A 19,397-nucleotide genomic window follows, 5' to 3' on the forward strand; every position below is an offset into this window, starting at 1 on the left:
AGAGAGCCCTCAGAAATAACGCCACATATCTACAACTATCTGATCTTTGACAAACCTGAGAAAAACAAGCAATGGGGAAAGGATTCCCTATTTAATAAATGGTGCTGGGAAAACTGGCTAGCCATATGTAGAAAGCTGAAACTGGATCTCTTCCTTACACCTTATACAAAAATCAATTCAAGATGGATTAAAGATTTAAACGTTAGACCTAAAACCATAAAAACCCTAGAAGAAAACCTAGGCATTACCATTCAGGACATAGGCATGGGCAAGGACTTCATGTCTAAAACACCAAAAGCAATGGCAACAAAAGCCAACATTGACAAATGGGATCTAATTAAACTAAAGAGCTTCTGCACAGCAAAAGAAACTACCATCAGAGTGAACAGGCAACCTACAAAATGGGAGAAAATTTTCGCAACCTACTCATCTGACAAAGGGCTAATATCCAGAATCTACAATGAACTCAAACAAATTTACAAGAAAAAAAACAAACAACCCCATCAAAAAGTGGGCGAAGGACATGAACAGACACTTCTCAGAAGAAGACATTTATGCAGCCAAAAAACACATGAAAAAATGCTCACCATTACTGGCCATCAGAGAAATGCAAATCAAAACCACAATGAGATACCATCTCACACCAGTTAGAATGACGATCATTAAAAAGTCAGGAAACAACAGGGGCTGGAGAGGATGTGGAGAAATAGGAACACTTTTACACTGTTGGTGGGACTGTAAACTAGTTCAACCATTGTGGAAGTCAGTGTGGCTATTCCTCAGGGATCTAGAACTAGAAATACCATTTGACCCAGCCATCCCATTACTGGGTATATACCCAAAGGACTATAAATCATGCTGCTATAAAGGACTATAAAGACACATGCACACGTACGTTTATTGCGGCATTATTCACAATAGCAAAGACTTGGAACCAACCCAAATGTCCAACAATGATAGACTGGATTAAGAAAATGTGGCACATATACACCATGGAATACTATGCAGCCATAAAAAATGATGAGTTCATGTCCTTTGTAGGGACATGGATGAAATTGGAAATCATCATTCTCAGTAAACTATTGTAAGAACAAAAAACCAAACACCGCATATTCTCACTCATAGGTGGGAACTGAACAATGAGAACACATGGACACAGGAAGGGGAACATCATACTCTGGGGACTGTTGTGGGGTGGGGGGAGGGGGGAGGGATAGCATTAGGAGATATACCTAATGCTAGATGACGAGTTAGTGGGTGCAGTGCACCAGCATGGCACATGTATACATATGTAACCAACCTGCACATTGTGCACATGTACCCTAAAACTTAAAGTATAATAATAATGAATTAAAAAAATAAAATAAAATAAAATAAAACTAAGAGTCTGGTCAATGAAACAAAAAAATAAAATAAAATAAAATAAAATAAAATAAAATAAAATAAGAGAGTAGACGTCATGATTAGTACAGAAAAAAAAAGTTGTAAATAATAATTACTGCTGAAAATGGGCATTTCTTTTCTTGTGCTAGGCTATTGGTTTGTGGGCTGAGCCAAACTAATTAGAGTTGAGCTGCGCTCAGATTTTTTTTTTGTTGTGGTCACTTTTATTGCCATTTCTAAAGGGAGTTTCAGTTAAGGATTCAGCCCCACTGTGGCCAACTAGGGTCTTACACAAATCTTCATTCCTAATCCAGATGCCTACCATTAGAGGTCTTTTTATCTGGGGCCTTCAACAAAGGCCTTCCTCAGGTGCCTCTACCAAGAACTTGTTATTAGAGAGATGGAGTGTATCAGTCTGTTCTCACAGTGATATAAAGAACTACCTGAGACTAGGTAATTTATGAAGAAAAGAGGTTTAATTGACTCACAGTTCCACAGACTGTACAGGAAGCATGTCTGGGAGGCCTCAGGAAACTTAACAGTCATGGCAGAACAGGAAGCAACCACGTCTTACCATGGCAGAGCAGGAGAGAAAGAGAGAAGGGGGAAGTGCCACACACTTTTAAACCACCAGATCTCGTGAGAACTCACTCACTATCAAGAGAACAGCTAGGGGGAAATTCTCCCCTATGATCCAATCACCTCCTACTATGTCCCTCCTCCAATTTAACATGAGATTGGGCGGGGATGCAAATCCAAACCATATCATGGAGGACGAGGCAGAACTTAGAATACCCTTCTCTCCACTCTGACTTGGGACTCAGTACTTTTTTACTCCTAGGCCTTTTCCCCGTGCTCCTCCCCACTTCTGGGTCCATATAGCTGTCGCAGCGTTTTATTTGGGGTTCTCTCCACAGTGAGAGGATCCTGTGTCTGTGCTGATTTGCCTGATCAATTGGCAGGCCATTCCATGGGGGAAAAATGGAAGAGGGAGGATTTGCTGCTTTCTCCAGTTTAGCCTCTTGCCAATACTATTGCCGTAAGTAATTAAAGGCTTTACTGCTACTTCATTCTGCTTTGCTGACTCAATTGGCTATTCTGACACCTGAGGAGTCAGCTCCCCAGGCTCAGCTGAGCTCTTGGTATTTGTTTCACATTTCCTAAGCTGGTGGTAGGAAACATGGTTTAAAAATGTTTATCTTTCTAGGTCCCAAAAATTGGGCTTTCTCAAAGATCCTAATGTTTCTCTGGTAGTAGGAAATGTCCAATGAATCAAACACAGCATGGTTTTCTTTCTCACTCCAACAGTTAGAGAGATTTTTAAAAATTCTTCCTTCAGGGGCAGTGTGTCTTCACCTGTGTGCTTAGGTTTACAGTCTTGCTGCTCTTCTCCCAGTGGCTTAAGGCTTTTGTTTTATAGCAGAGTCATGGTGGGGCTTTGTATCTTTCTTTTATTTTTATTTAATTTAATTTTATTTATCTGTTTTGAGAAGAGTCTTGCTCTGTTGCCCAGGCTGGAGTACAGTGGCACAATCTCGGCTCACTGCAACCTCCATCTCCCGGGTTCAAGTGATTCTCCTGCCTCGGCCTCCTGAGTAGCTGGGACTACAGGCACCCGCCACCACGCCCGACTAATTTTTTGTATTTTTAGTAGAGATGGGGTTTCACCATGCTAGCCAGGATGGTCTCGATCTCCTGACCTCATGATCTGCCCACCTCAGCCTCCCAAAGTGTATCTTTCTTTAACAGCCATGTTTCCTTCGTTCAGGCATGCATGATTGACAGATGATTTATCTACTCCTCCTTCATGTCTCCCAATCATTATCCTGCATGATCTGTTGAGGTCTATGTATGAGGCCTCTGTATGAGGCCTGCCTGTGGGTCCAAACTACGTGTGTTTCCTTGACGCTCATGGGTTCTAAGTCTGTACACTAGACCAGACTAAACTTTCAGTAACTCATTAAAACTTTCCCATATTTTTCTTTCCCAGTTGTATCATCCCCAGCACCTCTTCCCAAACTTATCAAGAGATGAGTCAGTATTTTGATCTTGTTTCTTCATGGATCTCAACTATGTAATTGTTTTCCTTGTTACTTCAGCTAACTAGTGGGTTTAAGATAGGTTATCATTTTATATGTCATCTATCGCTTCCATGCTATTATTTTGGGAGGTAAGGTTTTTTCACAGGTTTCTACATCCTAGGCAGAAACAGGACCTCTTATATCATTTTTATTTGTTTACTTATGTTTACTTATTAACTGACAGATATTGATAACTATAACATGATGTATTGAAGTGTATATGCATTGTAAAATGGTTAAATCTAGCTAATTAACAAATACATTATCTCACATGGTATTTTTGTGTTATCATTTTTGTGGTAAAACACCTCATCTGCCCTTTTTGCACTCTTCAAGACTACGATAGATTATCATTAACTGCAGTCACCATGCTTTAACATAGATTTCTTGAACTTATTCCTTCTATCTGACTGTAACTATATATCCTTTGGCCAATATTCTCCCATCTCTTCCTCTCCCCTAATAACCTCAGCCTCTGGTAACCACCATTCTACTCTTTAATTCTATGAGATCAACTTTTTAAGATATTTTGAAGGAAACATTTACTTGGGTATCTTTTTTGATTTTCTAAAGACTGAAGTCACCTTTTTTTCTGTCCAATGGATAGCTATTTCATCAATATTGTGATTCAAATCTATCTCCTGAAATATGTTATTACTCTTAAGCCATTATCTGCATAAATTTGGTTTTCATTTTGTTCTGTCAATGAATTTACCAACCCTTTTGTTATACCATATATCTATGGTGGGGAGATAAAAGTAGCATTTAACATACCATGCAACAGAAAAAAGAGCATGGTACTTCCTTTCCAGCAGAAGTTACCTTCTTATATGTACTACAAGTTCTCATTGATTGGAGTGTTGACAAGAGGCCCTATTTCAGTCAGTTCTGGACTCCATATTCTTCATGATCATAATCATGTTTTAGATATCCTAATACAGGTTTTACAGGTCCTGGCTTCCAGGTGCCATTATGTAATACTGCAATAGTGAAAACAGTTTTATATGATCTATCCAATCCCAGCCAGCTGCATCATAGAGAAGAAAGGTTCCATTTTATCTTGTGTACAAAAGCTACTGGAGAACGACTATAACAGCCCCAATATCCGATTACAATCTGCATTAATTTATCTGTAGAACAAATCCCAACTTCCTGTCCTGGTTTTCTAGGTCTAATAATCACTGACCTTTATGTGAGATTCCACAAATGATAGAATACTCACTAGTTGTCTCTATATGAGAGTATAATGTTTTTCCCAGTATGGTTAATGGTAATGTATGTTTTTATTTGAGAATTATTATTCAGCTAGTTCATTTGCTTATATCTTTGTTAAACCTTCCAGGCTGATTCCAGCCATGGTCATTCTCCTGAAATAGGAAGTCCATCTAGTGTTCCTACTAGGTTAGTAAGTTAAAGGCTCTTGGTAAGTATTCCAAGACCAACTACTTAAACTGTCACAGAATATCTTGTGCTGCATGGCCAGTTCTGATCAAGTCACTGAATATATTAATACCATTGAATATTTATTGTTTTTATACAACTTTGGAAACTGTACGCACCTAAAAGTATTATGTACCCCATGAGACTGTCATTTAGGTGTATTTGATCCTTCAGTACATCCTCATCTGGCTATGATAGCAGGCATCACATAATTTTCCCTTGCGTGTCTCCAGAGAAATATTATTGGTAATATCAGGACACCAAATAAAATCCAAACTGACCCCTTTGAAGATCTTCATGTTTAATTTGCACTTTCTTTAAATACATTCAGTTGACATTCATGTTCCATATACTCAAAGTAGCAAATAAACTTCTGACAGGCAGACACAGCAATTTGCTTCCTGTCATACCCAGGCAGCTGTCTTAGCAATGCATCATCTTGATTAATAGCCACAACAGAGTGACAGAAGCATTGCTGTTTAGCATTCTCCACCTTTTGTGATTCATTAGCAGCATTCTTCTCAGGTCATGGAAAAAATAACCAGAAAGGTACATATAGACTATAAACTGTGAAGCAAATAGTACTAGCTGGTTATTGATAAGTTGAGTTATCAGGGGTAATGCATCACTTCTTTTTGCCAAATTATCCAGGTGGAGTTTCAGGGCAGAGCTCATAAATTAGCAAGAGTCCAATTTCTCTTTTCTAAAGGGAAGAGATCCAGAGGTTTCTCCTAGCATCTGTCACTAGTGAATGCCAGATTTGGGAGAGATGGCTAACACTCTTATTCTCTTGCTCTGAGGCACTTTTGCATAAATAGTGTAGGTGGCATTCTTTACTGAGATCGAAACTCACTTATGAGCATCCATTTGTTTCCCATAATTTACCCCATTTACATTTATTGCTTCTTTTGACCCACACATTTTTGGGTTTAGGGGGCTCAGATGTATGGGTCTCCTATAGGGTGAGCGATAACAGCATATTTGCTCATTCTTCTACTTTTCACTAGCCTAGAAAGATTCCAAAGTTTTGCCAGGTAACAGATAAAATGTCTATTTCTTCCACTTGCTCTGAGGATGATCAGCATCAGAAGTCTAAAAATGAGTATAACTGGAATTGATGCTGATGTGGGCAGGATCACCCTCCACCCACTGAGATATCTACATCTCAACCCTCAGACCTGTGAATACATTAAATTACATGGCAAAAGAGACTTTGCAGATGTGATTAAGGTCATGGACTTTAAAATGGGGAGATTTTTCCTGGATTATCCAGGTGAGCTAAATATAGTCACATGAGCCTATAAATGCAGAGAATTTACTTTGGCTGGAAATAGGAGAGATGGGGCAGAAGGGGAAGTCAGGTATATTCAAAATGTGAGGAGCACTGTCCCTCTGTTGTTGGCTTTGAAGATGGAAGAAGTGGAGCATGAGGTAAGGAGTGTGGGAGGTCTCTAAAAATAAAAAAAAAAAATGACCCTTGGCTGACAACCAGTAAGGAAATGAGGATTTTAGTCTTGTATCCAAATAGTGCTGAATTCTGCCAAGAAACTGAATGAGTTTAGAAGTGCAGATCCCCAGTGCTTTCACAAAGAAACACAGCCCAGCAACACTTTGATTCTGACTTTGTAAGACTCTAATCAGAGGATCCCAGTAAGCTATGCCTTACTGGGATTTTTTAAATCCATAAAACAGATGTTTAAAAATGAGTGTTGTTGTATGCCTCAAAGTTTGTGGTAATTTTCTTTGGCAGCAATAGAAAATGAAAATAGACACTGACTCTACAATAATTGACACTCTTTTTATCTTCTACTCTTTCCCACTGAGATGATGCAGGATAATATCTCTCATATAAGGTATGGAACTTGAAATCACATCACAAAGTCTCTTTTGCTATGTAATACAGCATATACACAGATTCCAGGAATAAAGGTGTGGGCATCTTTGAGAAGTACATTTTTACTCATTTGGCCCACCGTGACATTCATTTTGATTAACACTATACTACTGACCACATAAAAATTAGGAAAAAGAAACATAATATTATATCAATATACAACATTTCTATTAACTTTAAATGTATAGGGATGCTACTCTTAAAATCTAGAATTGGTTGAATATATTACCCAGAATATCCCCAATCATGAATTCAGTGATGTAACCACAGAATAATTTGTCCAATCATACCTTGCAATTCATAATTTAACCTTCAGCTTGTCCCTGGCAATGGATGCCTCTAAACCCTCCCAGATTTACCTTCTGCTCTTTCATATCAGCATCTCTATTCTCTTTACAGATCACTGATAATTAAGTGCTAGGATCTAATAATAATAATAATAATGTATACCACTTCTGGCCCTTTAATCAAATTGTTGCTTATGTCCTGTCTTAGCTCTACTATAACAAAATACCATAGACTGGGTGCTTAAAGAAACAGAAATTTATTCTCTTATAGTTCTGGAGGCCGGAAGTCCAAGATGAGAGTGACAGCAAGAATGGTCAGGTTCTGGAAAGGATACTTTTCCTGGCGTGCAGACAGCTACCTTCTCAATGTGTTCTCATGACAGAGAAAGAGAGAGAGATTCCTCCTCTTAAAAGGCCACCAATCTTACTTTGAGGATCTCACTGTCATGACCTCACCTAATGCTAATGACGTCCCAAAGACCACATCTCCAAATAACATCACACTGGCAGTTAGGGATTCAGTACATGAATAGGAGAGGAACACACACATTCATTCCATAACATGATCTAAAATTCTTTACTAGGGGTTAGGTCAGCAAATATTGACCTCTCAGTCAAGCTTTTTCAGAATTCTATGGCTTCAAGTGAAGAGATAAATTCAGTCCCCTTCTAAAATAGTTTACATTCTAGAACATGATCCTGAATGTTGGATTTTAATTTCTCCAGGCCTAGTTTATATAGAAAGTAGGGTTTTAAGAGAGGGGATGAAGCCAGAGAGTATCCTCACCCCCTGAATATTGGTAATGAGCTGCCAACTCCATAAAAATGTGTTAGTTTTCTTCTTTTTTATTCAATCCTTCAAAGGCCTTTTAAAACATTTTATTTATTTATTTATTTATTTATTTATTTATTTATTTTTTCTTCACCAAAACAAGACACTTGATCAAAGGCCTTTTGAACAACATTACCCAATTGAGCTGTTATCTATTCCTTCTCCCTCACCATCTTTCATTTCCTTCTCTGATACATACCTTTGATTTGTTGGCATGAATCATGGTAACTGAGCCAGCAAGTTCCTTCCTGCTGAATATGTGCTCGGCCTCCCAGGAGCAAGGTTACATAAAGTGCCCAAGATTGGAGAGCCACATTTTTTATAGCCTCTGTCAGCATCACTACATTGGTCAAGGCAGCTAAAGAAGCAAAAGAAGGCATTCCTGTGGCGAGAGAAAGAAACATACACATACTTAAAAAAATCAATCCTTACATGCCAACCTGTTGTTTTTAAATTCAGCCTTTATTAGGGCCAAAACAATAGATAGAATACAGAATGTTATGCAAATGTTTATTTTATCTTCTGATTCCTGATAATCCATTTAGTTCCCTTTGGTCTAATTCCTCCAGATTCTATTGATAAAAATATTTTTCTGTAATATTCCTAAAGGTGTTTGTCATTCAATAACAAGGATGGGGTGCAGCCACCTTAACATTTTATTTTTATCATATTTGTCTTTTGCCTCCTTTTCTTTCTTCTCAAAATGTCTTTATCATTATGATTTGTGAGTCTGAAAGACAATCCCATTAACAACTCTAATTTGAAATAACGCAGAGTCTGATGGTCAAATCTTACTTACAAATTTGACATCATGCCTAGTACCATACACATAAAATACACATGCCCTCATAATGCCTAACATAATTTTCCAGCAATCAGTGTGAAGAAATAACTAGAACTGGCTTTAAATGCAGCAAAGTATGAGCGTTTAGTCAACATTTATAAGGAAAATACCAATTCAGTAAATAAACATGGTATTTACCCTGTTGAATTGCATATTATATATTTATGTGTAATATATATTTACATGTCGTTTATATAAATATATAATTGTGTGTGTGTATTTCCACTGATTGCTTTTTAATGATGCTTTGTGTATTTTCTATGGCTGAAATTGGCTGTGAAATGGATGCAAGACACATTAATATCTGTAAAAATCCATCTGTTTGAAAATGTAGTGCACTCCTTAAATAATAAATTAATCAATTAGAAAAATATTGAAAACTGACACTAAAACAGTAGAGATATCACAGGACAATATTCAGTATTACTCATTGCTAAGGAAATTGTGAGTTGCTAAATGTTTGCATAGTCATTTGTTAATGAAGAAGAACCAAAAAAAAGTATTTCCCTTTGGGAATATACCAAAAGATAATGCATAGTGGAGAAAAATACTTTTGAAAATATTAATGGAATTCTTGAATAAGAAAAGCTGTGTTTCCTCGAACTATCTTAAATCCTTTTTTTACAATATGTATTTTTCAGGCCACATATACCTCAGCTGGAAATTTCTGCTTTGCCATGAGTTAAAGAAACAGCCATGCAGAACTCTCTCAAGGGAAACTGCAGGAATGTTTTATTTTTTTTCTTGTTCATTCCAACTAATATTATGTTCTTGATATCTCTCAAAGTTTTCTTAAAGATTTACAGTCCTCTGGGCTACAATGTCAATCAACATCAGAGTTCAGATTATGGCAAGGTAGACAAATTTCTCTTTAATAAAAATGATCAAACTCTGGAAGGGAAAGATTAAGCACTAGATATAAACCTAGACAATCTGATCATCCCAAGAGAATACTGTGGTACTGTTTTCTGCTCTACTACCTTCTTTCTTTTAGCAATAAGGGGAACACAAAAAGTACATAAAGTTTTCTATGCTGTAATTACATTATTTACCAAAACCCTGGACAATATCACTAAAACAGTTGATATGCTCGCTACAGAAGTATTCAAAATTGAAAGGCAATTATTAAAATCTAGAGGGACGGGATAATTTCTTGGATTCAAGAGGTGGCACATGTGTAGCTCTTTGAGAAAATTATTATACCTATGTCCCTGCAGATCTCTCTGAAACATTTAGGGGAAAAAAACATCTGAAAAACCAATTAACTCTTAACCCTTATCTGGAACCAAAATATTTTTCTGGACATTTTTAAAAAATTCATATAGTTTTGCTCAACTCCATTTTTTAAAAAACAATTTTGACTATTTCATTGCCTTTGGTACTCCTATACTGCTTCTTAAGGTGGAGTTTTATTTTTTTCTTAAGTAGTTGCACATAGTTTCTCTAAAATACTTTTCCAAATCTAACAAAGTTGCAAAGGTTTATTACTAATCCAAACATTGCCACAGAATTAAATAAATTGGAAATTTACGTCATTGCTCGGTGTACTCAATAAGAAAAACCATTGAGGCCAGTTTGTAGCTACGGCTGAAAAAAAAAAAAAAAGAGCTACAGCTGTAATTATGGCTGTGTTCTAACTGTGAGCAATGCAGTCTATAATCCCCCTTATGCATTTTCAAGCTCAACTACCTGTGCTGATCTTTTAACTATTTTATGGACTTGAGAGACATTTATATGAGTTGTTGTTTTGTATGTACATCATAATGAGAATGTGGACCAGTGTTTAAGGACCAGTTACCATTTTCCTATCAATATTTGCTTGTTGAATGCAATTTTTAGAAAACAAAAATTGAATATACATAGGAAAATCTTTAGTATTTAATAGGAAGTCACTATTATATAAATTCTAAATCTAGACTTTGTTCCATTTTTCAGACATCTATAAACATGCAATCTATATTTTCTCATTTTGATTTTATGACACAAAGAGGAAGCCTAGATTAAATCCTTCCTTATAATCTTTTTCTTTCCCCTATTTTTTTCTGGAACCAATTTTGGTTTACTTCCTTTAAGACTTCATCGTTTATTCTTGTCTTCAAGGACCACATAAACATAATGTCAACCTTTATTCCTGATCCAAGTACTGACTCCATGCTTTAAAAATGTATTAAAATGGATAATAACCTCTAACTTCTATGTGGAACTTACTATGTGTCAGACCTGGTGTGAAGTGTTTTTTACATATTGACTTATAGAACCTGTATAGCAAATATCTGAAATTGATACAATTATTAGGTCAATTTAATGGATAGGGAAAAGAAGACACGGAGCTGTTAAGTAACATGTTCAAGGTCACATAACTAGTAAGTGACAAACTAGAAGCAGCATAATTTGTATAAATAATTTCACATTTAGAAGTAAGCATTTGATATAATTCCAGGTGATTTCAGAACATTCACAAATTCAACCATAGATATATTTCTTGAGCACAGTGCTGAAAAATTTGTCTTCTAAAATAAACTTCTTCCTAGTAACAAACAAAAGCAGTTTTATTAGAAAAGGAATGGGTATTATTTTATAACACAAGGCAAATTTTATTCACAGCCCACCATCATTTTGTTTCTATGTAGATCTACGTAGATAGTAGGGGACTACTAAGTTATACTTTACTTATGTGAAAATAATATTGTTCATAGGTTTCTCATGGGTCTGAAAGAGACAATATATTTTTAAAAATTAAATTCTTAAACTATGATATAGTAGCTTTATTAACAAAAATGACAAGCAAAATTCTAAAGCAGTATTTAAATCTTCAACTGTGAAAAAAAATTGACTCTATTTGAAAATATTTTCCAGAAATTAACAACCCCCCTTGTGCATAGTTAAATAAAATTTCCAGGCTAAGGTAATATTGAGAATGAGACTCTTTCTTACCTAAACTATGGGTATCCTAAATCTACCCACTTATTAAAATATGGAGGTAAACTATTAACTGAGCTTTTATGGGACCAATAAATGCAACTATTTACTAGCTAAAATTGATGTATGCTCCACAACATGATATCTTATTATTCATTAAATTCTTATTGCCTGCCAATTACTCTAATTTATTGTGAGTAAAACAAAACAGAAAATGATTTTTTAAGCTCATATAAATATTATTTTTAAAAAATCAAAAACTGGTCACTGCTTACCCAAACCCTGGATTTTTTTTTCAAGTAATTAGAAAACCAGCTGTGCTAAACTGGGAATTACAAATGATGAATAGTAATGACATGTATTTAACCACTAGAAGAAAAATAAGTGAAAAACCTTAAAGAAAGCAAGAAAATATATTAACACTTTCTTTCCATTTACCTCCCTTATTCACTGCCTTTTGCCTGACTTAGATGCCCTAGGGATTCTACCAAACAAGAAACCAAGCAGTCTTTTTTCCTTTATGTATCTGATGTAATCAAAAGCATGTTACTCTACCCACCAATACCCCATGAAATTCCACTGACTTTGCTTGCATTCAAAGTTGCCATTAAAAAAAAAATGAATGAAAAATAATGCTGGTGCATCACCTGGAAAAAAAGAGTAATTCTAATAAGAAAAAGCCAAAAAGAAGAAAATCCAAGAGAAAATAAAAGAGTGCACGCTGGAAAACATAGGTGAACTATGGGAAAAGTTAATCATAGATTACTAGGTTTTGGCATAAGTGAACTTTAAGCAAACAAGATGTTTCATCAAAATATTTCTTCTGCTCTTCGTGTGGCTCCTCTAAGGACTTCTTGATGGTTCCATCATGATTTAGGATGATTGATAGCTAAGGCTGTGATATAATTGATCTATGTGTGCATATATATATATATATATATATATACACACATATACATATATATGTAGAGAGAGAACTACAAAGGTAAAATGATGACATTGACTTTAAGCAACATAGTCTCCTTGGCTTTCCTCCATGATTCACAACTTGTAAGGAGAGAATGGCAATGGTCACTGGCACTGTTGGCTACTTAATTTGAGATTTTAGCAGCTCCAGATGTTGGGGCTTCTGCTGTTCTAGTTCCACCTCTGGGGTGAATTGAATCCAAAAATTCTTCACACCTTTTCTTTGTTAATGTTATTCATCTACATCCTTTCCCTAATGTCTTCCTCCTACAGAGAGAGAATGATAGTTCTTCACCCATGTTGAATTTGGACTTGGCCACTCAACTTGCTTTTTGCCAGTGGAGCCTAGGTGGGTGAAAGTGTGCCAGTTCCAGATCAAGGCCTAGAGAGGTATCAGATGTTACACTTGGGCTTCTGACTTGTACCATGAGGAGAACTTGTCCGGGTTGCTGCTTGGCCAAAGAGAATGTGGGGGCATGTCAAGTATTCCTGAACCCAAACTATAGCTGGAGCTAAGCCAAGGTCACAGGGAGTCTGAAAATGTTTCTCTGCCTGGGTCAGGCAAACCATAGGTGACTTTTGTATCTGTGAGCACAAAGGAAAGAGCATGCTTGTTATCATAAAGCATAAAGACGTGTTTTCTGTTTGACCTCGGTACAGCCTATTACATGATTAATCGTAGCATATGATTGTAATAATCTAATCATTTGACTTGATATTGAACTCTATTATAAGACATATATTTTTAGGGTATATATGACCTTAGGATTTGAGTCTTATTTCTCTCTTCCATGGATTTTTCTGTGTAGTCTAAATTCTTCATGATGTAAGTTAATTACTTAGAAATAAGAAAAAGAGGCCGGGCGCGGTGGCTCACGCCTGTAATCCCAGCACTTTGGGAGGCCGAGGCGGGCGGATCACGAGGTCAGGAGATCGAGACCATCCCGGCTAAAACGGTGAAACCCCGTCTCTACTAAAAATACAAAAAAATTAGCCGGGCGTAGTGGCGGGCGCCTGTAGTCCCAGCTACTTGGGAGGCTGAGGCAGGAGAATGGCGTGAACCCGGGAGGCGGAGCTTGCAGTGAGCCGAGATCCCGCCACTGCACTCCAGCCTGGGCGACAGAGCGAGACTCCGTCTCAAAAAAAAAAAAAAAAAAAAAAAAAAAAAAAAAAAAAAGAAAAAGAAACAGCCTTTCATTCTGAGAAGAAATGTTATTTTATATATTGGTGAACATTTTAATTATATATACTTAGAGCGATAATTTATACATATATATATGTATGGCTTACAGTGCTTTAGGTAATTTTAATGTAAAATATCTTGAAGATTTTATAAGTATTTATCACATCTCACTCACCCTTCACCTCTGTTCTCTGGCCACACTGGTCTTCCAGATCTTCCAAAGTGTCATGCTCATTCTCACATCTGAACTTCCAATAAGGTATTCTTGTACCCTGAATATCTTCTACTGACTCATTCACCCAGACAAGATCTGGTTATCTTTGAAATCTCAGTTCAGACACATTCTTGAGTAAGATTTATGTAATGCATCCAGACTACAACAGCCCTCCTTATATTTACGTACAGAACACACATATGCACACATATATATTGAAAGTAGGAAGGAAAGAAGAGATTAAAGAAATAAAATTGCAGAATGTAGCATTTTGAAAAACCTTTCAATCTAAACTTAAAAAATATAATATTTTATTTGTCTGAGAATTTTGACTTGTTCTGCCTAATGTTTGGGCATTTTTGTTACTGAACACAAATTGTGTATAAATATTAGTGAGACTATGACCGGTCTTATTAGTAAATAACATACGTAGATGAGGTTTCTTTAAATAATGGCAATATTTTTGTGACAAAAAATATATGCGTGCTTTCTTTTGTATGCTGCAACTTCAAGCAGCAAATCTTCGGTAATTTATATAATAGCAGTCCCGCTTACTGTGCATATGTCACAATATAATTCTCTACAAGACAAATATGTGTGATTACATTCACTAAGTAACACTGAAGAGCTCCAAATCATTCACTGGGAAAGCTGTGGCTGCTTAAGTAAAATTAGTTTGGCTTTTCATTTAGTTCTATTTCCTTTCATTCAGAGATTTAGCTTTTAATGCTTGGGAATGAAAAAAAAAGGAAGTTTTGCTGTACTCAAGTTCAGAGAGTGAAGAGATCAGGAAAGACATGAATGCTCAGCTAAATAATTGATTTCTGATGGCTTTTCCTGAAATTAGAAATATTAATTTATAGAGAGATTAAAAAAACTTTATTTAAAATTTTGAATATCCTTAAATTGAAGGAAATAAAATCATTGTAACATTGCGTTTACTTGTTTATCTGTGTCTTATCTGGTTCTTGAAAATAGAATATCTTCTATAGACATAAGAATAAAAGGTGAATAATAGGTAGCTGAATAAATAATAATATGAATAATAACAAAATAATTGTTTATTGGGCACTTTCTCAACACTTTGCCACATCCTCTGCATGCATTATATATTTTAATCCTCACAAAATCTCTAAAGCTGGAGATCCCTTTTCACCCTATTTTACCATATGGGAAATTCAGGCCTAGGGAACTGAAGTAACTGACATTTATACAGATGCTAAACAGCAGAATTGAGTTTGAGCACAGTCTGCATTACTTAAAATCCCACCACCATGAGAAATTAGCAGATGAGGCCAGGAACAAGGCTATAGGCATAAGCCATCCCATAATATTCTGCATATTTGCCAGACTTGTAGGAGAGATTTGGCTAAGATTATATAAGAAGGAAGTATGGGAAGTCACATTATTCACGGCACATTTTTCTTTTATTGATAGAGTCCCACATATACAAATACAAATTAATTGAACTCTTTAACATCTGCTTTTTAAAATGCTTCAGAAGGGGGCAAATAATTGGTAGTCAATTATGTCTGAAAACTTCCTTTTTTTAACATGCATAAGAGCTTACATTTTTCTCTGTGGATTTGGCCTTGGCCTATAATTGAAGCATTAGCAATGCTAATTCATTCTCCCAAGCACTTTATTTTTAATATGTTTTAACATAACGCTATATTCAGATAGATACTCTTCACAAGTAAGAAAGCTGAAGGTCATAAAAGTAAAGCAAGCATTTGAACCTGAGTTTGCCTAACATCTAACTATGCCTTCTTTGTGCATACATCTCTAGTGACAATGCTGAAGCAGTACTATATATCATGTGTATATCAGTTTTTTCTTATTAAAACATAGTTAGCATACATATTTTTTCTTACCTATTTGGTTTTGTTACCAGCAGTGGAGAATCCACATGGGTCTGCAGCAACTTCAATTCTTGCCTCCTCAGAAGAAAGAATTCGACCGAGGGGCATAAGGCAGAGTGAGAGACTGAGGTAAGTTCTGGAGTGGGAGTGAAAGTTTATTAAAATGTTTAGAGCAGGAATGAAGGGAAGTAAAGTACACTTGGAAGAGAGCCAAGTGGGAGACTTGAGAGATCAAGGGCACTGTTTGATCTTTGACTTGGGATTTTATACATTTTGCATGCTTCTGGGCTCTTGAGTCCCCTTTTCCCTGATTCTTCTCTTGGGGTGGGCTGTCTGCATGTGCAGTGGCCTGGCAGCACTTGGGAGCGGCTGCACGCACAGTGTGTTTACGGAAGGTGTATGCATGCTTACTTGAGGTGTTGTTCCCTTACCAGTCAACTGTTCCTAAAAGGTCATATACCGGTTACCAGTTAAACTCTGCCATTTTCCTCTTAGTGTGCATGCATGAGCCCACTTGCCCAACCCCTAAGATCTTATCAGGAAGCTGCTGATCATCAACTTTAGTTGTTTTCTATATATTTGGAGACTGCCTTTCCCTGGTACCAGCTGCCATCAATTATTATTTTAAAGAGACAGCTCAAAAACCACCTATTACCTGATCATCACCTGACATTCCTGGTTGTGGGGGACCTCTCCTGTCCTGACCATATCTGCCTATTTACTGTAACAGCTTGATTTATTAAGGATACACAAAATTTCTTATCTAAACTTGTATTCATCAAACAACAGTGTGATTTCATACATAAACTTGATAAATACCTAATACATGATTACATTAATGAGAAAATATAGAAATGAACACATATAAATTTTGCTCTAAATTCTGAGTTATTATTGTAAACCAGAAACAAAATTGTAAGACCCCTACACATCCCCCAACCCATCTGAACAGACCTCTCCTCTTGGCCAAGGGCATTCCAAAGTTAACCTGAAAAACTAGTTGAGGCCATGATGGGAAGGGGGGCTCAAACATGCCTCTGTATACCCTCCTCCCTTTCGGAATTTAGGAAAACCTGACTAGCATTAACATCAACCGGAGCCGTAAGTCTGATAGGAAACATTTACAACCAATTCTCTCTGAAGCCTGCTACCTGGAGGCTTCATCTGCATGATAAAACCTTGGTGTCTACAACCCCTTATCATAACCTAGACATTTCTTCCTATGAATAATAACTCTTTCAACCAATTGCCAATCAGAAAATTTTTTAATCTACCTATGACCCAGAAGCCCCTCCTTCTAGTTGTCCTGCTCTTCCAGATCAAGTCAATGTAAATCTCATATATATAGATTGATATATTGATATATTGATTGACGCCTCCCTAAAATGTATAAAAGCAAGCTGTACCCTGACCACCTCAGGTACATATCATGAGGACTTCCTGAGGCTGTGCCATGGACATGTCTTTAACCTTGGCAATAACTTTGGCAAAAGTTTCTAAATTGATTGAGGCCTATCTCAGATATTTCTGGGTTCACTTTACTGTCAATAAAATGAGACTTCTGCTCACATATGGTCAATAGCATCTTGTAAGAGGATCAGAGTAAGATGACTAGAAAGGAAACCTTAAAAAAAAGGAAAAAGAAACCCTCTCTTTCATTCCTCTCCTCCTTTTATGTCAGCATTGATTATCAAGGAAAAAAAGTTAAAATATAGATTTGTTATGTATGGCCCTAATTGAACATTTATTTTAGTTTTTTATATTTAGTTTTTTAAACAATTAATTAGCAGGTAAATAATTTTTCTTTATTCTCAACCAACAATACAGATAAATTAGATTTCAGAAATTAATTCGTTAATAGAGGCATACTAAGTAATTACTTCTAGCAGGTTCTGTAGTAGATAAATGGATTCTATGGAACTCCTCCTATGGAAGGAACTGTTAACTCTCTGTGGATCTCTGGAAACTCAACTACTGTCTTTCAATACCACAGTTCTTGGTATATTCAAAATTATTTTAGATTCTCAATTATTTTAGATTAGAAGGATGTATGCATGCATATGTACCCAAATAAATTAATTAAATGAGTAAATTAATTTTCTGGAGATATTTTAAATGATTTGGTATAATTCCTGATCTTCAAAGACTTCTATTCACAGCAAAGAGTGAGGAATGTGTGTGCTAATTGCAAGCAGTTCCATTTCAGAGAGATGTTTCTTTTACTTAATTTAATCGGCATGTGATACGTGCCTCCATCAGTGTGCACAGATGATGACAGAATTCTCAAGACAAATGGTGAGGTGAGACTGGCCTGGGCTTGACAAGCAAAATTTCAGTTTTAAATGGGCTAAGATCAATAGATAAAGACACATACATAGGAAAGTACAGAGGAATATAAGTGTTGCTATGTACCAAAAAATTTATAAAACTCAAATTTATGTTGGTGTACCTTTTGTTTAGTGGGACCATCTTATGGCAGACCTTTTTTGTAAAATGAAAAGAAGCTGTCCACTTACCCTGAGCCCCAACTGAAACTTGTCCTGAAATTTATGAAGGTTTAACACAAGTAGTAGAATTTTATGGTGGAGTGAGGGCAGGCAAATGCGGGCAAACAAAGAAAAACAAAAAAGGGTAAATAACCAACAATAACATGAATAATCCTATAATGACAAGTTATATATAAAATAGAACTGCTATTAAACTGGCTCTAGACTTTGCCTCTACAACATTAAATTCAACACTAAATTTTAAAAAGTAAAGTCATTGTGAACAAATTTTGAAATAAAAATATGAGCCAATAACTTAAATTTAGCTAATTTCCTTGCATGAAGAACACAGAATTTTTTTTTTTTTTTTGAGATGGAGTCTTGCTCTGTCACCCAGGTTGGAGTGCAGTAGCATGACCTCAGCTCACTGCAGCCTCTATCTCCTGGGTTCAAGCGATTCTCCTGCCTCAGCCTCCTGAGTAGTTGGGACTACAGGCACCCGCCACCACGCCCGGCTAATCTTTTGTATTTTAGTAGAGACGGGGTTTCACCATATTGCCCAGGCTGGTCCCGACCTCCTAAGCTCAGGCAATCCGCCTGCCGTGGCCTCCCAAAGTGCTAGGATTACAGGTGTGAGCCACCGTGCCTGGCCAGAAAATTTCTTAGATATGAAAAGGATGAGAAATAATTTCTCCTACAAATTGTATATATAAAATTCTTTTAAAGTGACAGCCATCTGACAAGATATAAATAAAAATTAAGTACTCAATCATGGTAGATACCAGTTACTTTAACATCCTAATGAAGGACCTCTGACCATAAAACTGCAACTGCTTTATAAGAGAATGGAAAGAAGACAGAGGTCAAAAGCTCTATATATAAATCCTGGATAACTATGTGACCGAGGACAAATCAATTTCTTTTTTTAAAAATTCATTTTTAATTGACAAGTAAAATTGTTTATATTCATGATGTACAATAAGATATCTTAGATTATATAAATACA

At 36.2% G+C, this 19,397-nt stretch overlaps 1 annotated feature.

Annotated features, from left to right (window-relative positions):
* Positions 16,968-17,137: an enhancer, noted in NCBI's record as "experimental_104318 CRE fragment used in MPRA reporter constructs". NCBI's record gives its function as "activates a minimal promoter by MPRAs in K562 erythroleukemia cells, with activity observed for both the introgressed and non-introgressed 9:106136098 variant alleles {active_cell/tissue: K562}" and the evidence as "EXISTENCE:reporter gene assay evidence [ECO:0000049][PMID:34662402]".

This window comes from Homo sapiens, chromosome 9 (assembly GCF_000001405.40).
Source record: "Homo sapiens chromosome 9, GRCh38.p14 Primary Assembly".
Taxonomy (NCBI): Eukaryota; Metazoa; Chordata; class Mammalia; order Primates; family Hominidae; genus Homo; species Homo sapiens.